Below are 27911 nucleotides of genomic sequence, written 5' to 3' on the forward strand. Positions count from 1 at the left end.
TCATCAAGACCAAGTGGGGTTTATCCCAGGGATGCAAGGATGGTTCAACATATGCAAATCAAATTATACATCATGTCAACAGGATGAAGGACAAAAACCATATGATCATTTCAATTGATGCTGAAAAAGCATTTAGAAAATTCAGCATTCCTTCATGATAAAAACCTTCAAAAAAGTGGGTGTAGGAGGAACATAACACGACACAATAAAAGCTATATACATACTGAATGGGAAAAATCTGAAAGCCTTTTACTATTGTTATTCAACTTAGTTTTGGAAATCCTAGCTAGAGCAATCAGACAGGAGAAAGGGATAAACGGCATCCAAGTTGGAACAAAAGAAATCAAATTATCCTTGTTTGCAGAGGATATGATCTTATATTTAGGAAAACCTAAAGACTCTACCAAAAAAAATAGAACTGATAAATTCAGTAAAGTCACAGAATGCAAAATCAACATACAAAAATAAGCAGCATTTCTATATGCCAACAGTGAACAATCTGAAAAGGAAATCAAGGCTTGATGCGGTGGCTCACGTCTGTAATCTCAGCACTTTGGGAGGGTGAGGTGGGTGGATCACTAGCGGTCAGGAGTTCAAGACCAGCCTGGCCAACATGGCAAAAAGCCGTCTCTACTAAAAATACAAAAATTAGCCGGGTGTGGTGGCGCATGCCTGTGGTCCCAGCTACTTTGGTGGTTGAGGCATGAGAATCGCTTGAACCTGGGAGGCGGAGGTTGCAGTGAGCCCAGATTGTGCCACTACACTCCAGCCTGGGTGACAGAGTGAAACTGTGTCTCAAAATAAAAAAGAAAGAAAAGAAAAGAAATCAAGAATGTAGTCCCATTAATAACAGCTACAAATAAAATAAAATACTTGGGAATAAACTTAACCAAAGAAGTGAAAGAGTCTATAATGAAAACTATAAAACATTGATGAAACTGAAGAGGACACAAAATGGAAAGATCTTCCATGTTCAAGGATTGAAAGAATCAGTATTGTTAAAATGTCTGTACTACCCAAAACAATCTACACATTCAGTGCAATCCCCATCAAAATACCAATGACATTCTTCACAGAAATAGAAATAATAGTCCTGAAATTTATATGGAACCACAAAAGACCCAGAGTAGCCAAAAGTCATCTTGTGAAAAAAATGGAGAAATCACAGAGTACTTGTGTGCTTGACTATTCAATGCCTGCAATAAGTTTTCCGACAATGAAAACTACTTTACTTCATTTTCTATTTTATTTTAATTACTGATATTTAATATTTTATTTTTGTTATTTATTTCTATCACTAATTTTAATAGGTAATAAGAATTTTCTGACTAAAATAAGTTAAATGTGTGATTTTAATGAAATATCAATTAGATTCATGGACATAGATACAGGGATGCGAAGATGTGTAATAAATTTCCTCAAAAGTTTCTTCTTACCTCAGTTACTGCTGAGTGATCATGACATGCTTCCCCTCTGAGGTCAGCTAAAGGTTTCAACTCTGCACCCCAGGGAGGGGTGAGAGTTAAAACCCATTTACCATTCTTATACTAAATGAACCAGATCCCATCTATTCTCATATAATCAAAATACCTGGAGTACAACAACAAAAGTATTTTTTATGCAAGATAACATTTAATCTGAGATTACATAATGTGAAATATCCTGCTTTTCTTATTCCTTGCAAATATAATAAATAGTGCTCATGGATAAGTATCAGGACATAAGAAATAAGAACTATTATATGCTCTATGAATACGGTATTTTATTTACACTGGACTTATAATAGTATAATAAAGACTAACTTGGTGATGGCATGATGACAAAGTACTTTTACTAATTCAAGTTTTATTTTACTCTTAAAAAAACACCAAAAACAATTTCTTAAGTGATTTTGTTTAGCTGCTTCCCCACAAGGAATTGGATAGTAATCCCATTTTACTTAGATACATTTCCTTAGATCTTTTCCAAGTTTCAGGAATATATGCCTTCAGTTCATGTGAACTGTCACTAGGTGACCAACTTTCATAGCCCTGCATGTGCCAATTCACTCAACATACATTTTGTATCTTCTATACAAAGATGATTAAGGCTTGGTCTTTTGGGGAACTCACAATTTATATCTACACAAATAATCACTATCTAATACCTACAAATATAGATATGAAGGAGCACAGACAAGAGATTTGAGGATTTGAGAAAGTCTTCAAAAGAAAGAGACATTTAATTTGAGTCTTGAAAAACTTGCAAGAGCTCACTACTCACAGGAAAAGGTGAAAGTGGCAGCCTGGGCAAAACATTTAAAAGCTTCCAGGCAAAAAGCCTTGAAAACATAGAAGGACAACATATATTTCGGAAATACATTGAAAGCAGAGAACAGTAAGTAAACTATTGCATTAGTTTGTACAGGACACAGTGAAGGGTTTCATTAAAAGTAGTGGCATTAGTAATGAAGATAAGGGCCTTCTGAATAGACTTTTTCAAAGTAATTTGATAAGACTTGGCAATTAAATGTGGTAGTAGGAGGAGATGAGGTTGATGGAATAATCAAAGATGATTTGATATTTTCATCTCAGGTTACTATCTAGAATATAATGATAGTCATTGAAATGGAGAATGTAAGAGAAAGAATATTTGGGGTGGTAGAAAGGAAAACCTTACTTGAAAGAGATACATTAGGTTTTAAATATGTTAATATTGAGATTATCAGGTAAAGGGCTGAGAGATCTAGATTCAGCAGGTAGCTCGAAATGGAGTTTAGGAGCTTGGTGTGGCCTGTAGGTTGTGTTATGGGAGACACACTGGAATCACTGAAGCAGAGACAAGGTTGGTAGAGTTGTTGGGCCAGTACTAGGTAAAAGTTCAAAGTAGGGTAAAAAAAGCTGATGGCAGGACTTAGATAAAGAATTGCAACTCAAAATACGATAAGCCAGAGACAACAATGAAGAGAGGACAAATCCAGAGGATAGGATAAGGCAGGCGATTAAAAACCTGAGCAGATAGGCAGGAACAAGGGGCTTTGTGGAAACTAGAAGAGCAGGGCAGAATAGCCAAGGTAACAGATTCAAGGAAGTCATCGAAATGTTAACAAATTAAGCAAGAGATTTTGCCAGTCCTGGAGCTTGTTGCAGAAGCAAGAACCTATTCCGAAGCATTATGACTTGAGGCTTCACTCAGATATTATTGAAAATACTTCTAAAGAGTAAGGAATCACAGTAGAGATAAGGCTGTTCTCAAGTAGCTGCAGTGATAATTATATTTCATACTTGTGTATCTTCCTATGCCAGAACAAAAGCTATCTTACTTTTTGGATATTGAAGAATGAAACACTCAAATTACAAACATTGTAATTTCCCCCCTCCCCTACCCTCCTTCCTTCGTTTCCTTTGTTGCTTAATACCCTTTTCATTATTTTACTCATTTTCTCTTTTTCTCTTCCCTTCCTTCTTTCCTCGCTTCCTACCATCCATCCTTCAGCCCTTTGTCCTTCCTTCATTTTGTCTCTGTTGAAGAAAAGATCGCTTAGAACCTGTTGTATGTTGAGTTAAGCATCTAAACATTACAGAGGATATTTTGAAGTCCAAATATTCTCCAGTGTAGGAAGAAATATCTTACTCATCATGGCTAGTAAATATTTCCTTCTAAAAATGAGTAAAACTAAAATTAAATTACATTCATGTGGTTTTGACTCTGTTGAACGTATTAGCACTGTATTAAATGGTGTCTTTAAACTTTTTGACGGGTTAGGTGGTTAGCAATTAACTTAAATGTAAAATGATTTAACTGTCAACTATGGGGCTGGAAGCAAACAGAAATATAGGATTGGTTTTGTCATTGTATACCTTTTAACTTAGAAAGCTTCAGTTCCTGAGGTTGAAAATGTAAATCATTTTCTGCTGCCCATTTTGTGATTTTTATGGATACCTTATTTTTAACTTGGTAACTTTTAGAAATCATTGACCTGTTTCTTATAAAAGTTAAATCTAAGATTGTTTTTTAAGAATGTAAACAGAAAGGTTAATAAAATATTTGATAATAGCATTCTCTGGTACTATCCAACATTATTGTCGATTTCTTTCTTATTTTCTTATTTACTTGTAAAAAATTAAAATTGTTTCAGCTGAAATATTTGTGCAGTTCTAGCCTTTTGTACTGAACATCATTTCACAAGGGAGATTTTGGTAAATCTTGTTTGGTTGAAACACATTGTTGTTACTTTAGGTGCTGACTATTCTGATGCCGAGTTTCCAATTGCCTTGATTAAAGTAGAAACATTCTATGGCTTGGATGACTTACATTTCAAATTGGTTTGAGCAAGATGATTGGTATGAAGGACTACAAAGAGTAAGATACATTTACTTGTAATTACGATTTCCTGCGATTTTTTTTCTGCTTTGCTTCTCATATAGTTTTATATCTGTGTCATTTATATCGTGGACATTTTCGCATTGCAAAGTTCTGAGCGTGAATAAGACACTTATTTGCTAGTTTTAAAGCAAAAGTAAGAATATAATAAGGGTAATTATATAGTGAAGAAGAAAGGGCATTTTTTTCTATCCTAATTTCAGATGAGTTCTTAATGTTTTCAAATTCTCTTAGGCTTTAAATATAAAATAATATTTTATATATTGAGATTAATATATGAAAATAGCAACAATTTCAAGCAAGTCTTTCCCATAAAGAAAATCATTTCATGAAACAGAAGATAAATGTATGCTGATACTACTTATTAAACAAATACTTTAAAAGGAAATGAAAACAATTCTGAAGAAGAGTGCCATGTTGCATCTGATAAATTTTTAGGCGGTTAATTAATTATGTTTGAAAACAAACTGCATTGTTAGTGTGGCAACATTTGCATAGTGTTTTGAAAATAGTATTCTAACCTATTATTACAATAATAGAAAAAAATGCTATTTAAAATGTACCTTGTCAAATGGATTTAGTCTAGAATAATATATGATTTCTCTTCGATTATTTTCACTTTTTAAATTTCTTGATTATTTAAATGAAGACAATTTGTATATTTTTATTTTATTAATTAGTGGGACAAAAAAACCAGACTATGTGCAGTTTTACTAGATTTTTCACCACTGTTGTTCAAGGGCATAGGCTGCCAATGATATACAGTACTTTATTTTTCTTTCTTTTTCTTGAGATTCCCATCCTAAGCACATTAATTACAGATATTTTCTCAGTATTACTTCTTTTTAATTATAAATCCTCAACAGTTTAAAGCCTTTTGGACTTTTTTTTCAGATACTTTTTTTGTAAGCTGTGAAAAAATCCAGTAAACATCTCTGGAGCCAGTAAATATCTAACTCTGAAGAATAATACTCATATTGTAAATCCTAAAGCATTCTTCAGAAAAGGAGTTGAGAGTTAATGAGCAGTTTTCCATCCTGAGTTTCAATTTCAGGTATAAATGATGGAAATATTTCAGCTTATGAGTTTAATAGTAATACTTCAAGCCCCACTTACACACACACACACACACACATACACACACACACACACACACACACACACAATGCCAATATCCTTGTTTGTATTGTGTGCAGGAATGGGAACTGATTTTAAGAAAAATGCTTTTTAATGAAATGTGTTTCCTTTAAAATGACTTTGGAGAAGCTCATGGAGATTATGAGAATTCAAAATCTTCCTCTTCTTGCCCTTTATACTACTATGGGCCTTTATAAATGAATGCCTGGTTTTGAAACATACTAAAAGTGTAGCTGTTGTTAAAATATAGAAATAGATTGACCCTAAAATTACTATATTACTGTGAGTTTGAGCTCCTTCCGGCTTAAGTATTGACCAGCTCTCATACATGTGTAGATGAAAATGAAAGATCCTATTCTGAATGAAAAAAAATTGGCACATGAATATTGACCTTAATTTCTTTCAAAAATCCAACTTATGCCCTCCTGGTGCTTACCACAGGCTGTGTTCTTACACTGACTGTATAGAATGAGAAGGTAGAATAAATCTACCCCATATGCACTTCAGCCCAACTGAAGTGTGTTGTTCCTGGGCCAAAAAGACTGTATTTTCTGAAGCAACAAATCTTTGAAGTAGACATGAAAATTCTTGAGTGGTTCACATATTAATGAAACATTCTAAAGTAAGGATAATAAAGGCTTTGTAAAACATTTATCTGCAGTATATTACCTGTCATAATTAAATATGTTTCTTTACCTTTATATGTGACATATTTTGTAGGATTTATATTTAAAATATAGATATATATTTTGAAATGGACCTTCAGTGGACTGTTTTCTGTTTTTAGTAATGCAGAATCATGAATTGAGTAACAATTCATGCTGACTACAAAGATAACAAAAGGTTCTGGACATTTTGTTTCATCTCCTTGGCAACTGTAGATACAATTTAATGAAGACTGAATAATTATTACATATCTTTTTTAGTCCTTTTGCAAAAATAATTTAGAAATTCACATATTAGACTTTGTTTGAATATGTAATTCAGATTTTAAATGTAATAATATATATTCAATAATGTATGATATGCTTTTTATCTTTTATTTAGAATCATAGATTTTAAAAAATATCTATTTTTTTTGAAATAGCTATTTTATTTTGTCCTAATTATTATTTTAATATCTGGTTTAGCAAGTTATTTGACTCTGAATTTTAAAAGGATTTAAGTGTTGGTTTGTAAGACCTGTAAAAGCTATTTAAGAACAAAGGTACACCAAATTTTATGTCAACATAGAAATGCTTATATTATCTAATTTTGGAAACTAAAAAATAATAAATCAAGATATACTCTGAGTTAAAGTCAAAATGTATTGGCATAAATTTAGAAGTTTATTTTTGTTTTTAATAAATAAGCAGAGAAACTGCTGGTTTCTAGTTCAGTATGTAAGCAGCTTAGAAGTTGCTACTCCATTTTAGCCAATAAAAAATTGAACGCATTGAAAACTCAACAACTCTTCCTAGATCCACCTGAGAAGTAAGGGCACAAGGCAAATCACTGCCCTCAAAATTATTGAGATAGAAATGCAGTTACAGAGAATTGCAACTTACCAGAGCAGAAATGAATTAGCAGAAACTAACCTGGGCATCACTGCCAGAGTAAGAAAATCTGAACTGTAACTGATAAATTGATGGAAGCACAATATGGTCAGGTCTGAGGGTTAAAAACTTCACGGGAACCCAGTAATGGGGGTGGCGGGGGAGCTTTTGTAAGTTTTACTTCCAGGAGCTCTAAACTGGTGCTCACAGTGCATATTAGAGAAGAATATCCTCTTGCTTCCAGCAGGGGGAGGGGAAAAGAAACCACTTAAATTACACTAGAGCATTCTGTTCTTTATTTTTAACCAACTTTTAAAATAATTTATATAAAATTATGGAGTACAAGTACAATTTTGTTACATGCATAGATTGCACAGTGATCAAATCAGGGCTTTTAGGGTATCCATCACCTGAATAATGTACATTGTACCATTCAGTAATTTCTCATCATCCACCCCCTCCCACTCCTTCACACTTTGGAGTCTCCCTTGTCTAACATTCCACTTTTGTGTCCATGTGTACACATTTTTTTTACTACCCAGTTATGAATGGGAACATGTGATATGTGACTCTCTGTGCATGGCTTGTTTCACTTAAGATAATGACCTCCAGCTGCATGCATGTTGCTGCAAAATACATGATTTTTAATGGCTGAATAGTATTCCACTGTGTATATATACCACATTTTCATTATCTGATCATCTGTTGATAGACACTTAAGTTGATTCTATAGCTTTGCTATTGCAAATAGTGCTGCAATAAACATATGAGTGCAGGTATCTTTTTGCTATAATGATCTATTTCCTTTTGGGTAGATACACAGTAGTAGGATTACTGGATCATATAATAGCTCTAATTTTAGTTATTTGTGAAATCTCCATACTGTTTTCCATAAAAGGTGTATTAATTTTCATTCCCACCAACAGTGTATGAATTCTCTTTTCCCCATATCCTCACCAACATCTATTATTTCTGTCTTTTTAGTAATAGGCACTCTGAGTGGTGGAAGATTATATCTCATTGTAGTTTTAATTTGCATTTCTCTGATGATCAGTGATGTTGAGCATTTTTTCATATACCTCTTGGCCATTTGTATGTCTTCTTTAGAAAAATGTCTACTCATGTCCTTTGCCCACTTTTTAATGGGATTATTTGTATTTTTGTTGTCATTGAGTTGTTTGGTTTCTTTGTATATTCTGGATATTAGTCCCCTGTTGGATGAATAGTTTGCAGATATTTCTCCTATTCTGCAGGTTGTGTGTTCTCTCTGTTGATTATTTCTTTGGTTGTGCAGGAGCTCTTTAGTTTAATTAAGTCCCATTTATCTATTTTTGTTTTTGCTGCCTGTGCTTTTGAGGTCATAGTATACATACCTTGCCTAGATGAATGTCCATAAGAGTTTCCCCTAGGTTTTCTTCTAGTATTTTTATAGTTTCTGATCTTGCATTTAAGTGTTTAGTACATCTTGAATTGTTTTTTTTAATATGGTGATAGCTATGGGTCTAGTTTTATTCTCCTGTATATGGATGTCTAATTTTTCCAGCACTATTTATTGAAAAGGGTATCCTTTCCTCACTCTGTGTTCTTGTTGGCCTTGTTAAAGATCAATTCACTGTAGATATGTGGCTTTATTTCTGGGATCTCTATTCTCTTCCATTGATCTATATGTCTATTTTTTATACCAGTACCATGCTATTTTGGTTACCATAGTCTTGTAATATAATTTGAAGTCAAGTAATGCATTGCCTCCAGTTTTATTCCTTTGGTTTTGGATTGCATTGGCTATTTGTGCTCTTGTTTGGTTCTATATGAATTTTAGGATCGTGGCATTCTGTTCTTAAAACCTACCCTCAAGAGAACCTATTTGTCCAGAGCGTAACTCTGGGGTTTTAGAAGAGCCTTACCTACCTGGGAGAAGGAAAATACCCAACATCAGCCCCCTTCAGCCATCCTGTCCCACCTAAGCAGGGCTGGGGGTACTGAGAAGCACTGGTCATGGGCACGTGACTGAGACCTAATCATAGGACTTTAGAATGCTCACTCTACCCCCATATCTTACCACTACATTACTAAAGGCCTATTTACAGCACTTTCTTTTATGTAGTTCATCATGTGCACCTCACAAACATTTACATGATAAACAAAAGGCAAAAAAATACAGTTTGAAGAGACAGATAAAGCATCAGAACCAGAGTCAGATACGACAGAAATGTTGGTATTATCAGACAAGGAATTTAAAAAACTACAATTAATTTGCTAATAGCTTTAATGGTAAAAGTAGACAACATGCAGGAATGGATTGAAGGAGAACAAAGTGGGATAACTAACACTACCCAACTTAAAGACTTACTATATAGCTCCAATAAAAAAGACAGCCATGGTATCTGCAAAAGGATAGACAGATAGATCAATGGAACAGAATAGAGGGCTTAGAAATAGATCCACATAAATATACTCAACTGATATTTGATAAAGGAGCAAAGGCGATACAGTGAAACAAAGATAGTCTTTTCAACAAATGAGGCTGGAATAACTGGATATACAATGTTAAAAAAAAAGAATCTAGACACAGGCCTTATATATTTTACAAAAATTAACCCAAAATGCGGCATAGAACTACATGTAAAATGCAAAACTGTAAAACTCATAGAAGGTAACATAAGAGAAAACCTGGATGACTGTGGGTTTGGCTAGCACTTTTTAGATACAAAAGGTATGTTTTATGAAAAATAATTGATAAGCTGGACTTTATTAAAATGAAAATCTTCAATTTTTACAATATCAAACAGAATAAGAAGGCAAGCCACAGAATGGAAGAAAATATTTGCACATCTGCTAAAGATCTGTTATCCAAAATATACAAATAATTTATATAACTCAGTAACTAGAAGATTGAACAACCTGGTTTTAAAGTGGGCAAAAGAGCTGAACAGATACCTCACCAAAGAATGTATATTCATGACAAGTGAGCATGTGAAAAAATGTTCAACATCATTTGTCTTTGGGAATTGCAAATTAAATCAATTAGATACCACTACACATCTATTAGAATGGCTAATATCCAAACACCAGATGCTGGCAAGGATGTGGAGCAACAGGAACTCTCATTTCTGATGGGAATACAAAATGACACAGATCTTATGGAAGACAGTTTGATGGGTTCTTACAAAGCTAAACATATTCTTACTATATTATCCAGCAGTTGTGTTCCTTGGTATTTATCTAAATGAATTAAACAGCTGTGTCCACACAAAAAGCAGCACATGGATGTTTATAGCAGCTTTAAGCATAATTGCTAAAACACAGAAGCAACAAGTATGTCCTTCAGTAGACTGGTGGATAAATAAACTGTGCTACATCTAGATAAATAGTATTATTCTGCACTAAAAAGCAATGAGCCATTAAGCCATGAAAGGCACTAGAAATCTCTCTCCCCACCTAGACAACAATTGCACTGGTACAGTCTGTCTGATGTAATTATTTTGTAATACCAGAATCTATGAAGGCTTGCAACTTCCAGGGGAAGGCTTGGATGATAAGTTGAAGTTAGTAAGCTTTAGTTCTCAGCACAGTGGCAGCTACTCATCCCTCACCTCAAGCCCCAGGGCAGACAAGTGAGCATGTATCCCAGAAGTATCTTGCAAGCAGCTTATGTGAACCAGGGTAGAAAAAAAAGCACTCTGTCCTTTATATATCAGTGATCTACTGCTTCTGATCACAGAAGTGCAGACAAAGAGGCAGGCAGCCATTGTTATTGCACCTACCTCCATGTTACAAGCTCCTCCCCCTCCAGCTGAAGCAATTTCAAGGGGACTTAAAGGGCTGAATCCCTTAATTTTTTTCTTTTTACCCTTTTGGGAGCCATCCATTAAAGCCTATGCAATTCAAAAGCAACTGCCTATACAAAGAAAATTAGGAAGTTACTATGCATGAACAGAGGACACAGGTTCAGAATAACCCTGAGTAGTCCTTATGTTTATACCTGAGGATGATCCTTGACACAGACAGCCCACAACAATTGAAAACAAAAACAATAAATAAAAACAAAAACAGCAAACTCTGATTTCCAGAGTTACCATATTACTAGATTCAAGTGTCCAGGGTTCAACAAAAAGCCACAAGGCCTAAAAAGAAACAGAAAATTATGTTTCTTTCAGTGGAAAAAAAAATAAACAGATGCTTTCTGAAAAAGACCTGATGAAAGATCTACTAGACAAAGACTTTAAAACAACTGTCTTGGGATGCTTAAAAACTAAAGGAGATATGGAGAAAGTCAAGAAAACAATGTATGAACAAAATAGAAATAATAGAGATAGAAAACCAAAAAAAGAATTGTAGGGCTGAAAAATATAATAACAAGTAAAATAGAAGAATTCAAAGACATATTTAAGAAGAAAATATTAGCAAATATGAAGATAAGACAATAGAAAATATTGAGTCTGAGGAACAGAAAGAAATTGAAGAGAAGTAAGCAAAACCGAAGGGACATAAGGGACACTATGAAGCCCACCAATATGCACTCATGTGGGAGTACCAGAAGAGAAGAGAGAGAGATGGAAGAGAAGAGAGAATATTTGAAGGAATAATGGCAGAAAACTCCTCAAATTTGATGAAAAACATGAAGTAAATTTCCAAGAGTTTCAGCAAGCTCCAAGAATTTGAACTGAAATAGACACACATGGAGACACATCATAATCAAATCTTGAAAAGCAGAGTGAATCTTGAAATTAGTAAGAAAGAAGTGATTAACACATACATACAGGGATCCTCAATAGTATAAACAGCAGATTTCTGATATGAAACTTTAGAGACTGGAAGGAAATGGGCCAATATATTTAAAGTGCTAAAAGAAAAAAAGAATGTCAACCAAATATCTTTTATCCTGCAAAACTGTCTTTCAGAAGTGAGGGAGAAATTAATACATTTCCCAGTAAACAAAAACTGAGGGAGTTCATTATCTTTAAACCTGCTTTGGAAGAAATGCTCAAGGAAGTTCTGCAGGGTGAAATGAAATGACACTAGACAGTAACTCAAAGCCATATGAAAAAATAAAGATCTTGATAAAGGTAAATACATGGACAATTATAAGTGCTAGTATTTGGAAACAATGCTATTGTTTGTTTTCATCATCATTTAAGAGAATAAAATATTTTAAAAATTCTTAGTATACAAGTAGTATTATTGTAACTTTGGTTGGTGATTCCACATTTTATTTTCTCTTAATTTAAAAAACTAATGTATTTAAAATAATTAATTAGTTTGTGTTTCAGGCCACACAATATATAAAGATGTAATTTTTTGACATCAACAACTTAAAGGTGTGGGGTTGGAGTTTTAAAGAAGCTGAGGTTTTGTATGTAATTGAAGCTAATTTGGAATAAAGTTAAATTAGAGTCTTGTAACTTTAGCATGTTAAGTTTAATCCCCATGGTAGCCACAAATAAAATAGCTATAGGATATACACAGAAGAAAATGAGAAAGGAATTCAAAGTTTCACTGCAAAAATTAACTAAACACAAAAGACAAAAGCGTTGCAGGAAATGAGGACAAAAAAACTATGAAGCATATTGGAAATGAATAGCAAAATGACAGAAGTAAGTCCTTTATCAGGAATTATTGTAAATGTAAATGGATATTAAGCTCTTCAAACAAAAGAGATTGGCAGAATTAATTTAAAAAAAGATCCATCTGTATGCCGTCTACAGTTGATTCACTTGAGATCCAAAGACACAAATAGATTGAAAGTAAAAGGATGAAAAAAATTTTTTCCATGCACAGAGTAGCAAAAAGAAAGCAGGCATGCCCTATATTAATATTAGATGAAATTGATTTTTAGTCAAAAAAGTTCAGAAAAGTCAAAGAAGGACACTATATATTAATAAAGTTTCAATGCAGCAAAATATAAGTTATAACATTTATACACCTAAAAAACACCATCAAAATATATGAAGCAAAAACTAACTGAATTGAAGGGATAGATAGTTCTACAATAATAGTTGGATAATTCAATACCCCATTCTCAATAATGAATACATCAGACAGAAAATAAGTAAGGAAACTGAGGACTCAAACAATATATTAATCCAATTAGATCTAACAGACATATACAGAACACCCTACTCAGTAACTGCATACACATTCTTCTTAAGTGCACATGGGATGTTTTCTAGGATAGACAATATGTTTGGCCAAGTATTAAGCCTCAATAGATTTTAAAAAGTAGTTATCATACATTATGTCTTCTCTGAACACTGTGGGATAAAGTTAGAAATCAATAACAGAAAGAAAACTGAAAAATTCGCAAATTTGTGGAACTTAACACACTCTCCAACAACCAATGGATGAAAGAAGAAATCACAAGGGAAAGTAGAAAACTCTTAGAGATGAGTGAAAACAAAAGCACAACATACCAAAACTTATGGGATGCAGTGGAATCAATGCCAGGGGGCAAATTTGTAGCTATAAATGCTTTCATTAAAGCATTTATAGGATCTCAAATTAGCAACCTATTTTTACAACTTAAGGAACTAACAAAAGAATAAACTAAACCCAAAACTAGAATGAAGGATATAATATCTAAGCAGAGATAAATGAAGTAGAGAATAGAAAAAAAAATAGAGAAAAAGATCAACGAAATTGTCAAACCTGTAGCTGGATAAACTAAGAAAAAGAGAGAAGACTCAAATTATTAAAATCACAAATAAAAGTTGGAACATCTCTACAGATTATAAAGAAATTAAAAACGTTATAAGATAGTAGTAGGAACAATTGTACACCAACTAATTCAATAACCTAGATGAAATGGGCAAATGCAACAATTTTAAAAAGCCATGCTAAAATTGATATAGAAACTCAAGAGACCCTGAATAACAAAACTGGGGGACTCGCATTTTCTGATTTCAAAACTTGTTGCAATACTACAGTAATCAAAACAGTGTCATACCAGCATAAAGGCAGTTATATAGACCAGTGGAATATAATATTTTATCCTGCAAATATATATAAATTTATATATAAATATAAAATAGAGACTTCAGAACTAACCCCTTACATATATGGCCAAATATCTTTTGCCAAGAGTGGCAATACCATTCAATGCAGAAAGGCCAGTCTTAACATATGGTGCTGGGAAAACGAAATATCCACATGCAAAAGAATGAAATTGGACTCTTACCTAACACCATATAAAAAAATTAAAATGGATCAAAGACACTTAATGTTAAGACCAATATCTTTAAAGCTTTTAGAAGAAAACAGAGGACAAAGCTTCACAACATTGGATTTGACAGCAATATCTGGGATATGATAACAAAGGCACAGGCATCAAAAGCAAAAAACATGCAAATTGGATTTCATGAAAATTAAAAATTTTGTGCATCAAAAGAAAAACACTGGCCAGGCATGGTGGCTCACATCTGTGATCTGGGCACTTTGGGAGGCTGAGGCAGGATGATCACTTGAGGCCAGGAGTTCGAGACCAACCTGTGCAGCGTGGTGAGACTCTGTTTCAACAACAACAGAAAATAGCCAGGCATGATGGCGCATGCCTATAGGCCTAGCTACTTGGGAGTCTGAGGCAGCAGGATCACGTGAGCCTAGGAGTTTGAGGTTGCAGTGAACTATGATCATGCCACTACACTCCGGAAGGAAACCTGTCTGTAGAAAAAGAAAAAGAGGAAGAAGGAAAGAAAAACCCTATCAACAGTAAAATGGACAGCAACCCACAGAATGAAGAAAATATTTGTAAATCACATATCTGATATGGGATTAATACCGCAAATATAGGGAAAACTCCTAAAACTCAACAATTACAAAGAAACGTGATTTACCTGATTGAAAAATGGACAAGATACTTTAATAGATGTTTCACCAAAGAAGTTACGGAAATGGCTGATAAGCACATGAAAAGTTGCTCAACATTATTAATCTTTAGGGAAATGCAAATCAAAAGAACAATAAGACACCATTTCACACCAATTAGAATGGCTATTATCAAATAACAGAAAATAGCACGTGTTGGTGAGGATGAGTTAGCCAAACACTTGTGCCCTGTTGTAATGTAAAATGGAATTGCTGCTGTGGAAAACAGTATGGTAGTTTTGCAAAAAAGTAAAAATAGAATTATTATTTGATCTAGTATCCCACTTCTGCATATAAACCCTCCAAAATTGAAAGCAGGGTGTGGAAGAGATATTTGTACATCCGTTTTCATAGCAACATTTTTTGTAATAGCTAAAACATGGAAGCAATCCAGGCGACAAATCACAGACACGTGGATAAGGAAATATGGCATATATGCACAATGGAATATTATTCAGCTTTAAATCAGAAGGAAATTCTGACATACACTACAACATGGATGAAACTTAAGGACATTATGTATTCAAGTCTTTTGCCCATTTTTGAATCAGATAAATCATGTTTCTTTGTCACTCTTGAGTTTTAGGAATTCTCCCTATATTTGGGATGTTAATCCCTTAACAGATATGTGGTTTACAAATATTTTTTCCCATTCTTTGGGTACTATTGATAGTGTTTTTCCCTTCCTTCCTTCCTTTCCTTCCTTCCTTCCTTTTTTTCTTCCTTCCTTCCTTTTCCTTCTTTCCTTCCTTTTTTCCTTCCCTCCTTCCTTCCTTTTTTCTTCCTTTTTTCCTTCCTTCCTTCCTTATTTTTTTCCCTTTTGTCCCTTCCTTCCTTCCTTCTTTCTTTCCTTCCTCCCTTCCACCCTTCTTCCCTTCCTCCTGCCCTCCCCACTTGCCTCCCTCTCCCCTATCCCCCAAGACAGGGTCTCTTTCTATCACCCAGGCTGGAGTGCAGTAGCATGGTCATAGCGCACTGCAACCTTACACTCCTGGTTGCACATTATGAATGTATTTAATACCTTTGAATTGTACACTTAAAAATGGTTAAGAAGTTAGATTTTATGTTATGTGTATTTTACCACGATAAGAAAAGGAGAAAAGGAAAAGAAATTAGCTATCGAGCCATGAAAAGACATGAAGCCAAACTAAATGTATATTACTAACTGAAAGAAGGCAGTCTGTAAAGGCTACATAATGTACAGTTCCAACTATAAGACATTGTGGGAAGGCAAAACTATGGAAACATTAAAAGATTAGTTGTTGCCAGGAATTGGGGAGGGGGAGGGATGAATAGGCAGAGCACAAAGGACTTTTTAGAGCCGTGAAGCTGCTCTTGCCCATACTGTAATGGTGGATACCTATCATTACACATTTGTCAAAACCTGTATGATGGAGAACATCAAGAATGAGCTCTAATGTAAACTGTGGACTTTGAGTGATAATGATGTGTCACATAGGCTCATCAGTTTTAACATGTGCCATCCGGTGCTGAGTGTTAATAGTGGGGAAACTTGTGTTATGGGGTGGGGGAGGCTATGAGGGGTATATGGGAAATCTCTGTACTTATTGCTCAATTTTGCTGTTTTTCTAGGAATTGTTAATTATTAAAAATGTGTAAAAAACATTACCAGAAAGTGAAAATTTTAAAATGACTTTTGTTTATTTATTTATTTGAGACTTGCTGTGTCTCCCAGGCTAGAGTGCAGTGGCATGATCACAGTTCACTGCAACATGCACCTCCCAGGCTCAAGCAATCTTCCCACCTCAGCTTCCCAAGTAGCTGGGGCTACAGGCACGCGCCACCACCCCTGGTTAATTTTTGTAATTTTTGTAGAGATAGGGTCTCCCTACGTTGCCCAGACTCATCTTGAACTCCTGGGTTCAAGCGATCCACCCATCTTGGCCTCCCAAAGTGCTGGGATTACAGGCATAAGCCCCTGTGCTTGGCCAAATAACTTCATTTTAAATGTGTGTTTAAAGATTTTTCTTTAATTATGTTTCTTTTCCAAATATAAACTCAATATTTGGTTAAACAGAAATCAAAAGACATTTTTACTTAGATGCAAATGTTATAAATAGTAATTTAATAGATCCCCACATAATCTCCAAAAGTCAATGTAACTCACATTGTGGCTGAAATAATGTACATTTTCAGCGAAAGATACTGTAACATTACTAAGTGTAAAAAAAAAAAGAAGTGTATATCTTTTTTATTTACCCTGAATGCTAATGTTTGAGGAAATACAGGTGTCATTAGACGAGGAGGAAAGTTTCTGAATACATAAAAGCACTCAAGATTGGTAGCCCTGTTTGTTTGTCATGCCAGCTTGTACTTCAAGTAATTTATTTACTTTTTTTCCTAAATCTATCACTAATTCTGCTCAGATAAGGGGATTTAATGAGATGAAGACAGAAAGAATTGGAGAAGAGAAGAGGAGATGAGAAGAAAGTAGATCCTTTTCAGAAGTGGAAATATGAAATAGAAAAGATAAAATGAAGAACGTAGTTTCGTAAATAAATATGAGTTAGTGATCTATGGGAGAAAATGTAACCATTTAAAATTTACTAATTGCTGAGCATTAAAAGAATTAGATTAAGAGTTGGAAGGTTCAGGGTGTACACTGAACAAGCTTCTATAAGACTTGAGATGTAGATCAGATGTGTATAAATTTATGTGTGTAGGTTTTGTATGTGTGATATTTTACATGTTGTGGTTTTGACATTAACATTATGCAAAGCTTTTGAGCAGCATAAACTAAATATTGACTACCCAATATATTAGTCACGTAAAACCAAATTTATTATAGCTCTCAGTTTTCTACTTAATTTTCCAAGCTAAAATATTTAAGATTATAATCACTACTTACATTTTTTCCTTATTTAAAAATCAGATATGAAATTGACAATAGTGAAAAATTGAATTTACCTGGTGTAACTTTGTAGTAGTGTAAATGGAAGATTGTCTCTCATATTAGGAGCTCCTCTCTTTATTTTTTATTTATTTATTTTTATTTTTTTTGAGACAGAGTCTCGCTCTGTTGCCCAGGCTGGAGTGCAGTGGTGCCATCTCTGCTCACTGCAAGCTCTGCCTCCCAGGTTCACTCCATTCTCCTGCCTCAGCCTCCTGAGTAGCTGGGACCACAGGTGCCCGTCACCACGCCCGGCTAATTTTTTGTACTTTTAGTAGAGACGGGGTTTCACCATGTTAGCCTCCTGACGTCGTGATCCGCCCTCTTCGGCCTCCCAAAGAGCTGGGATTACAGGCGTGAGCCACCGCGCCCAGCCTATCTTTATTCCTAGACCAGTATTTTAGGCCATAATGGAAAGATAGCTAATAATGGCTTGGATTCTACCTTTAAAAGGCATTTTTTGTCAATAATTTCTTTTTGAATGTCATTTATTAGATAACCACATAGTTTAATACTCTGCACAAATGTGTTTTTTAAGTATGATTTTGTTATGATGAGTTTTCATTATGATCATAGACTTACAGCCTCACCATTTACTGTCTGTTCTCCAGTATCTTAGAGGAATTTAGAGTTTACATATAGATTCATAGCATTTTTTTGATCTGAGAGGAATCTGGTAGAAAATATAGTTCAGAAGCTGTATTTTAGATACGAGAAATAGAGACGTAAGGTTTAATGCTTGACTCCAAGTCACACTCTATGTGTGGTGCAAAGCTTGGTCTAATTCCTTATTTCCTGAAGTCTCAGCCCAGGCCTGCTTCTGCACTACGTTGTCTGCATCTCTGGGGTTGTCTATTCCAACATCCTCTGTCCTGCCACATAGACAATTTTTGTTCAGATACTTTTCAGCTTCTTTCTGCCCGATCCTAACAGTGAACAGTATTGTTAACCTAGCTTATATACCTGTCTTATGCACCTCAAATAGATTTTGTGAGGATGAAGAGTTGATGTAAAAACTGAAGTTCTATGACACAGGTCACAACCCTTCCATTACTGGTCCACAGTGTTTTAAATTTAAACGTGATGCCTTGAATGAATTGCCAGTATTGAAAAATGGATACATTTCACATAAAAATCTGGGTATTTCCGTTTTTCTAGGAAGTTCCATAAATCTTGCAACATGGGATGGCCTTCTTCAGTGATACTATTAATATAGCATGTGCAATTTCTATTTCACTGGAGTTCCTGTCACTGGGTATGTGTTTCCCAGTCCTTGGCCAAATGTCAGCTGTCGTTCCTTCATTATCATATTTCCTGCTTTCCTCATTTAAATTAGTTGCCTTGATGTCTGCAGACATTTAGGGAGTTCAACTGCTGTTCTCTGAAAATAAAAGTCAAAATTAATAGTACTAGTAAAATGTTTTTCAGGGCACACAGGTAAGGGTTGGGGAAGATAGATGTAAAACAATGAGGAAGTTTATCAATAATGGAAATCACTGACATTTCTTCAAATTTGTTTTTCAAGGCAAACATGTCCCAGGTAAGGCAAGTGGGATTGCTGGCTGCTGGATGTCAGCCATGGAACAAGGATGTATGTGCTGCCAGTGGAGACAGGTTTGCATATTGTGCGACCCTGGCTATCTATATTTATCAGGTAAAATAATAATTCTTTTCCATTTTTAATTATATCCGGTAAAATTAATATTTAATTAATACATATTTTAAGTCCTTGTTACATGAAAAACATAATGCTATAATTCCATTTATATTTATATTTTTAAAGTTTTGTGATTTATACCGTATAGGTTTTAAAAGTTAAACCTTTAGAAAACACTTACATTATTAAATGATTAGTAAATTTGATATAAGAAAATTCTTTTTTCAGTTGAAGAATTTGGGTAGTCCATTAGAGATCATTATAGTAAAATTAGGACAGACATATATTGTGAGATATTATTGGGAGAAAAACTTGTATAACTATGTTTTTCGTGTCCTAGCTCCATTCAGATATCCCTTATCAGTTCACAATTTATAGAGCCAAAAACCGCCTGAATTTCTTCATATAGAAGTGCCATAAGCATGTTAAAATCAAAGTCCAGTGATTCTCTTAAATTCAAAGTCAGTATCTCAGTGTCACCAGCTAACCATGCATCTAAACCAGAAATGTGATAGTTATCTTTGACTCCCTCTTCCACTCACATCCCGTGCCCTTGGTAGCCAAGAGTGATTCTAATATGTTCCTCATATCTTTCTCACCTAAACTATTATAATAATCTCTTAATAGTCTCTACTTTTAGTTTGGCTCCTACTAATTTATTGTTCAGTGTAATCAGTTATCTGTAGTGCAAATCTAAATTTTAAAGCTTTCAGTTGCTACTCATTCCCTAATAGTAACATCTAAACTTCATAAAATGGCATTCAAATGCTTTTGTGATCTTCCTGCCTCTCTCTTACTCTGTGTTCCAGTTATACCAAACCAATTACATTTTTCTAAGACATCTCAGTCTTTCATATCTTGCCTTTGCTTACACTAATTTTTCAGTTTGCTTACATTGCCTGTCTAGAGAACACTTTCTCATCTTTCGAATCTCAGCTCCTGTATGAACTCTTTTCCATATTCTATTTTCCCCTCTTTCTTAGCAGTAAAGGACCTCATAAAATGGACTGCCTCTCTGCATGCTTTCATTTATTAGGAGTCTTTCCCATCTTTTAATTCTCACATTTTTGCACTTTCTGGCACTTAGAAGACATTCATTAAATGTCTTAAATGAATGAATTAAGGAAAGAATCTTCAAACTCCAACTTATTTTAGTTAAGACTATCTTGTTTTATTCTAGAGTAAAAATTCTTTTCATTACTACATATTCGTACATTACTAATTGCATTATGCTTTATTCAAAATTTAAGAAATATAGCATTAATGTATAAAACAATCCATTTTCCACGATATAGAGTAAGATTTTATGTAGTCCATTTCTTAAGACTGTAGAAATATCTAGCTACCAAAATGGAACTTCAATATAACTCACACTTCTTCATTTTCACCCCCTTCATACACAACACAGCAGCAAGACTTCTAAATGCCTGTTTTTTTCTCCCATCTACCTCCTTTACACTCTTTATATACTCCCAAGCTTGTCACTCCCAAATCCCACCTACACAATTTCTCTCCTAACCCTAAGTCCTTATCTTGTCTTTTATTTCCTCCTAAAGAAGAGAAAGTTATCAAGCAAGTCAAACTATTCTTCTGAGGTAAGGATGGTAAAGAAACTCAGTGGATGAAGCCATAACTTAATTTTTTCAAGTTTCTATGTCTTAAATTTTGTGATGACATTTTATGATGAATATTTTAAAATATTGAGGTAAAATTAGTAATATAAACAATGTACATGAAAGTTGTCATGTCATTAAGGACTGAAACAAACTAAAAATTATCCTAATTTAGAAGCTGATGCAAATAAACTTAGGGGACAGTTCATTACAATGTCCACTATAAAACCTTGTTTCAAAGTATGCCAATAGAAAATTACATAATTAAATGGTGACATTAATATGAAATTTATGTTAATAAGTAGTGTTTTAAATATTATCATCTCAATTACAGTGCTTTGAAAATTATGCTACATAAATGTAACATGATACAATTATTTTCAGAGGAAATATTTATTAAATAACACTTAGTGCCAATGTGTAGTCAAAGTCTGATAATCGGTCACACTCTGGATAATGATACTCTTGTATTATATTTTTCTGAATGATTAAATGATAATGGGAAATGGTATTAGAATTTTTCTTTAACTGTTGTTTTGTAATGCACTGATATGTTAATGTACCCTAAAAGTAGAGTAATTTATGGTCAATCTCAATGTAATTGTACAGTTCAATATTACTGAATTGTAAACATCATAGGAATGCATCAGTAGATTAATTCCTGCAAATAGTTCAGTGTTCTCTAGTGTGCTTACAGTTACTATGTAGATAATTTGTATGGTAATGTCAGTGGTCACTGATATGCAGCATAGCTTCTTCACACATTTACTATATTAATAGATTCTTTTACTGAATTTCTAAATAATGTAGGTTTTTTTCTTTTGGATACATTAGATACACTCACTGTATCTACCATAGGTGACTTAAATTGCTGAATAATTTAAAACTTAAAAACCTATTTATTCCTAAATGTATAGAAAACACAATTATGTATTTAAATAAGTCAACTTAAAATTGCTATTGCTGCAGTGCTAATCAAATGAAAACTTCATTGGTTTTGGGTTATGTTTACTAATGTTTTAATCCAAAGTTGTCCAAGAATAGTTGAAGTTATAGGAAGAGAGAGAAATTATAGAAGAAAAAGCCTTAGGAAATACTTATGTGATTAGTCAAAAATTTTACATACAATGTTCACTGCAGCATTATCTGCGATGGCAAAAATTAAGTTACTTAAATATTAAACAGATCTTAAGTGTTTATTCTTTCAATATTAACTGAATCTCTTCAATTGACCAAGCCTTACTCTGTACCAGGATTGCAACTGTGAAGAAACAGGCAGAGTCTTCTTGTGGAACTTATATTCCTGTAAGGTGTAAGGAAAGGTGATAAGATAAATAAGTAAACAAATAGGTAAAATTTTCAGAAAGAAGTGTGCTCTACAGAGGCTGAAAAAACAGGTATAATAAGATAGAGTCATGGGATAGGTTCTGGGGCGAGTTATGAATTAAGATAGCATGGTCCGAAAACATCTCTCAGAAGAGGTGCATTTAAACTCAGACCTCAGTAGGAGAATGAATAACCATGAGCAAATCAGTGGATAGAGTATTTAGAAGCCAAGGAAGCAGCAAGCAGAAGGCCATCAAGTGGAGGTGATCGGCTGTAATAGAGAAACAAGAAGTTCAGAGTGAACAGGGAGGAACATGATTTCAAATTACTTTGGCAAGATAGCAGAGATTCAATCGTGTAGAGATTTGAAGGCTGTTTATCAGTTAGGATTTTATTGCAAGCATATAGCTTTAAAAAGTTTGATGTAATAAATATTTAATATCATAATGATTTTTAAAACTTAGAATAGCACTGTGAAAGGCTCATTATATGCTAAAGGGGAAGAAACTACAACAAAAGGACATAAATAACATATTCCAAAACATGCTAAAAATGATAGAGATTAATTCACTAATTAATGGAGGCACACTTACAAAAGAAATAAGAAAAATTAGGCTGTTTATTTTTTCTATTTATGTATAAAAACACAATATAATGTCCCATCCAAAAAAAACAATAAAATAAAAAGAGTGAATGACATCATTGCTCTGGAAGCTTTGGACATCTTAATAGTGTAATAATGAGCAGTTGGTGTATTTAACCCAAATTTTCTTGATTCAAGTATAAGTGAAAAATTGCAGAAAAAAATATTCCAAAACCAAGGGTTTTTTCTTCTCATAAAAAGATATAGCTATGGAAAATATAATAAAGCTCTAAATTATTATGCATATTTAAATGTGAAACATTTATTTTTACTTGTTTTTAAAATGGATATGTTTTTATTCTCTCAGTTTTTAATGTTTTTTTTTAGCTGGTTCAATATTCATGAATACACTTGAATGTAGACCAAGGCTTGAAATATGTTCATATCTTTATTATTAGGTGAAATAATTTTCCTGTATGTAGCTTTAGTTTTGTGTAATGTGAATATTAACAGTGTATTATCTTAAAAAGGAGCACTAAAATATTTTATTTATATATTTTGTTTTAGTTGGATCACCGTTATAATGAATTCAAACTTCACGCAATTATGTCTGAACATAAAAAAACAATCACAGCAATTTCTTGGTGTCCACATAATCCTGATCTGTTTGCAAGTGGCAGTACTGATAATTTAGTGATCATTTGGAATGTTGCAGAACAAAAAGTCATTGCTAAACTCGACAGTACAAAAGGTATAATTACAACTGGGATTTATTTTATGGAATAAAATATTTTTATTTCAACAAGCACTATCAATATTATTAGTTCAGCTTTTAAAATGTTGTTTTCAAACTTCTTAATGGTAATCTGTATAAGAAATAAATTTCACATAATGACTCATGCCCATAGGTACAAAGCTGAAACAAAATTTCATGAAATAATTATACGTAGAACATATGATCGACTAAAAACATAGCCAATACCAAATAATTTTATTAATGTTTAAATATAATGTAAGAATTTCCAAAATAAATATAAAAATAATAATCAGAAAGATTTTGTTATTGAGACAAGTAACAAGCCTTGGCTGTTCATTACTCTATTCCAACCTTTAAATTACAAAGAAAGTATTATGCATATATTTGATGCATTGTTAAGCTGGTTTCATGCCTTTATTTTTAATTTGGTCAAGGTAGAACATCCTCATTCACATAAATTGGACTTTATGAATTGGAATAATAGCATTATACTCTTTCTACTTAGAATTGGGAACTCGCATTTAATCTTATCCCATCATAATGGTAAAGTTAAGTAATAATTATTCTGTGTTCAGTGTCACAATAATTAACTCTCTTTTTGAGCACCATATTTAGCTCAATTGATTATGGTTTTGAAAGCTACTGCTAGATATGTTTTTCAATTCAGCTTCTTCTCTAAAAATAATTGTTATAAATTTGAGATATAAAACTGGACATGACAATCTCACTAACCTTATTTTGTTCAAATTTCTTTGTAATAGTCTAAGGCAAAAATACTGGGAATTTATAGGCAATTATCTTTAAATTTTGTTTCCATAATAATAGTAAAATAATATCTTTTGTAACTTTTAGACATATTTGATATTTTTAGTATTTTGGTTTGTCTTTTCAAATTTAGGTCATTAAGAATGCTTAAAATATCAGTGTAATACATAAATTTTATTACTCAACTGTTAAAGATATTTGTCAAATGAAGTTAATTTTCAACTAGAAGTATATGGATCTCATTCCCAAGTTTATGTACCCTGTTTTTTATTTTTACTTAGAACAACCAATGTATTAGACAGTGAGTAATGTTTGCCCCAATCTCTGAACAAAATATTGTAAAAAGTCAGCTATTCGGTGAGCTTCCATTAATGTAATTAGCAATTTTTCTTAAGGCTTTCCATGAGAAAAAAACAAATTATTTTGGCACAATGCTTTGTGATATATAAATTGTGATTGATGGCCTCAATTAAGACTTTTCATATCTCCCCATGTTTTCTGGTCATATCTGTTTGTCCAGCAATCACAAATTCTATAGGTTACTCCATTACTGTTTATATTGATTGATAATGCATTTCCAAGTACTTTAAATCCAGCTTTGTGTGAGATTAATTTTAAATAACACAACAAATTTTTCTTGAAATTCTTTCCATATTGTATGTGCCATAAACTAAAATGTTGCACGATATTATTGTTCTCGTAAAGATGTAACACAAAGTCAACGTTAGGTTATAACTGCATATAATAAACATAAATTCTAAATGTTTTGCAGAAGTAATGATTAATTTTATTATCACCTAGTGTATCCATGGATTTATCATCAGACACTATATACATCACATCCATTCATGGGGGAAGATTTTATTTATTCATCAGCTATATGCACCATAGTTTCTTTTGTCACTGGATATACAACTAAATAATACTTTCTAATTAACAGTCCCAGAATGATGAGATAATTGTGGAAAGCTTTTGGCAAATTTTTCATGTTTTTCCTTTCTTTGAAAATTTTCAGCTATCAATATCTCCCTCATCCAAATGTCTTCTTAATTTGAAGATTGAAAGCTTTGCTATTTTATTTGCAAAAAAATTATGACTATTTTTGGTGATTTCCATCTTAAGTAACACTTTTGAAATGTTTTAGGCTTATTTTTCTTTTTAGAATCCAGCTTAAGCAAAGTAGAAATTTGCATTAAGTGAACTTTTTTTTTCAACTTCCAAATACAGTTGTTGAATTTGATCTTGCCTCTGTATTTTTACTTCTTCTTCCTTTTGTTTCTAATAATCTAACAATCCATTTAAATGAAAATGCATATTAGTTTTTCCAAATGTAAAATGTAAAAATTGTCACCAACTTGAAAAAGTCACTTTATGTCACAGTGGATAATAATACTACCTACCTATCTCAGAATAGTGTTGGGAGAATTAAATTGCAACACTCCTTGAAAGTGCTTGTACATAAGTCACTATAAAAGTGTTTTCTATTATTATTATATGACACTGTTTCTGGTCCTTTCGCTTTCCTTGCTGTCTTTCTCTAAATATACAGTCGGAGAACCAGTATTCTATTGTCTTTCCTCTACTGTGCTGTGGTGGTTTGATCCATACAGAGTACCTCATCTCTTTTTTGGGTAAATTCTACTTCTGTTAATGTATCCTAAAACCATATCAACTATTTTACTGGCGTTTTTCATGTATACATTCATTCATTCAGCAAATATTTATGGAGTCCTCATTATGGGTCAGGCCCTGAAGTAGGCATTAGGCTTTGTTTTTGCCTCTTGGAGCACATAGACTGTTAACACAAACTAAACTTACTGTCAATCAGCGAATTTCCACTCTGTGTCTTTGTTCATATCATTTTCTCTTCCTGGGAAATACTGCTTATTCCATGTATTTAAACTCTACCCCTCCTTCTAGGTATAATTCAAATCTAATTTCTTTCCAGGACAGTAGCACAGTGGTTTCTAAACCTTTCTGCATATCAAAATCATTTGATGAAGCTTGTTAAAAATAAATTCCTGTGAAACCTCGTCTCTACTAAAAATACAAAAAAAAAAATTAACCGGGCATGGTGGCGGGCGCCTGTAGTCCCAGCTACTCGGGAGGCTGAGGCAGGAGAATGGCATGAACCCGGGAGGCGGAGCTTGCAGTGAGCCGAGATTGCATCACTGCACTCCAGCCTGGGCAACAGAGCAAGACTCCGTCTCAAAAAATAATAATTATTATAAAATAAATAAATAAATAAATTCCTTGGCTCAAACTCCACATGATCTGATATGTTATATTCCATTTCATGATTTTGATGCAGCCAGCTAATATATCAGTGTTGGAAGATGTGCAATCTCTCTCTCATAAATTTCTCATAATACTTATTTTATATATGATTTATTTGATCACAATAGCAGGTATATTAACAATTAACTTTTATATTCCATCTTATTGATGGAATGTAAATGTACCTTTACATAAATGATTTTATTTCCTTGACTTTCATGTGAAATAAGTGGTCAGCTATTTTTATTGTTATCTCCATTTTATAGATGAGGAAACAGAAATTTAGAGAAATAAAATGACTTGTTTTTCTGAGGCAAGGCTTAGATTTGAATCTAAATTCCTGATAAGACATAGATTATAACATTAAGTCCATTGTTTTTAAATCCTTATAGTAGCATTTATATTTTTATTCACTAATCCCTGTCTCCCTAACACACATTTAAAATTCTCTAAAGCAGGAATCTTATCCCACACTACCTTGTATACCTAGAATGCCTAGAGGTCTTATATACAAATACACAGTAAGAATGTATTGCTCTAATCTTTAATATATAGTCTACTAAAATAAAAAAGTCTATAAATGTATTTGACTATATGAAGCAAATGATCATGTAAGTAGTATTTAAACCTAACTAGATACATTTTCTTTCATCATGGACTTTCCCTGCCTATGTTCCCTGCAGTCTTTGGGATTTCTTTATAAATCCAATTCCCAAATAAGAAAGTAATGTATCTTAAAAATAATAATTTGTTTTAGAAATGTAAACAGGGCAAGTAATATTTAATGGTGTAATCTTATGCTGTATCTTTATTATGTATCTGTATTTAATGTATTCCAGGGATCCCTGCTTCTCTTAGTTGGTGCTGGAATGCAGAGGATGTGGTGGCATTTGTTTCCCACAGAGGCCCACTGTTCATTTGGACCATCTCAGGACCAGATAGTGGAGTGATTGTACACAAAGATGCTCATAGCTTCTTGTCTGATATCTGTATGTTCAGATGGCATACACACCAAAAGGGGAAAGTTGTGTTTGGTCATATTGATGGAAGTCTATCAATTTTTCATCCAGGTAAGAATTTAATTAGCAAGGTATCTTAAATAGTATATTTTTCTTATATATAATTTTG

The 27911-nt window shown here is 33.3% G+C and overlaps 1 protein-coding gene and 1 pseudogene across 12 annotated transcripts in view; both read left to right on the plus strand.

Annotated features, from left to right (window-relative positions):
- The window catches only part of WDR17 (WD repeat domain 17), a 116975-nt gene that overhangs the window by 26404 nt on the left and 62660 nt on the right, over nucleotides 1-27911 (plus strand). For 6 of the 12 annotated variants that reach the window (NM_001350727.2, XM_017007690.3, NM_001378104.1 and 3 more), the window contains exons 2-4: nucleotides 19331-19459; nucleotides 23552-23735; nucleotides 27623-27853. In NM_001350727.2, coding sequence (NP_001337656.1) covers nucleotides 19337-19459; nucleotides 23552-23735; nucleotides 27623-27853 — 538 coding nt within the window. In that variant the 5' untranslated portion in view covers nucleotides 19331-19336. Of the gene's footprint in view, nucleotides 1-4120; nucleotides 4342-19330; nucleotides 19460-23551; nucleotides 23736-27622; nucleotides 27854-27911 lie in introns of those variants that run through there. The other 6 variants (NM_170710.5, NM_001378103.1, XM_047449569.1 and 3 more) reach the window with 2 other exon arrangements.
- On the plus strand, nucleotides 5919-6041 carry LOC124900182 (uncharacterized; annotated as a pseudogene).

Source organism: Homo sapiens, chromosome 4 (genome assembly GCF_000001405.40).
Source record: "Homo sapiens chromosome 4, GRCh38.p14 Primary Assembly".
In the NCBI taxonomy this organism is placed as follows: domain Eukaryota; kingdom Metazoa; phylum Chordata; class Mammalia; order Primates; family Hominidae; genus Homo; species Homo sapiens.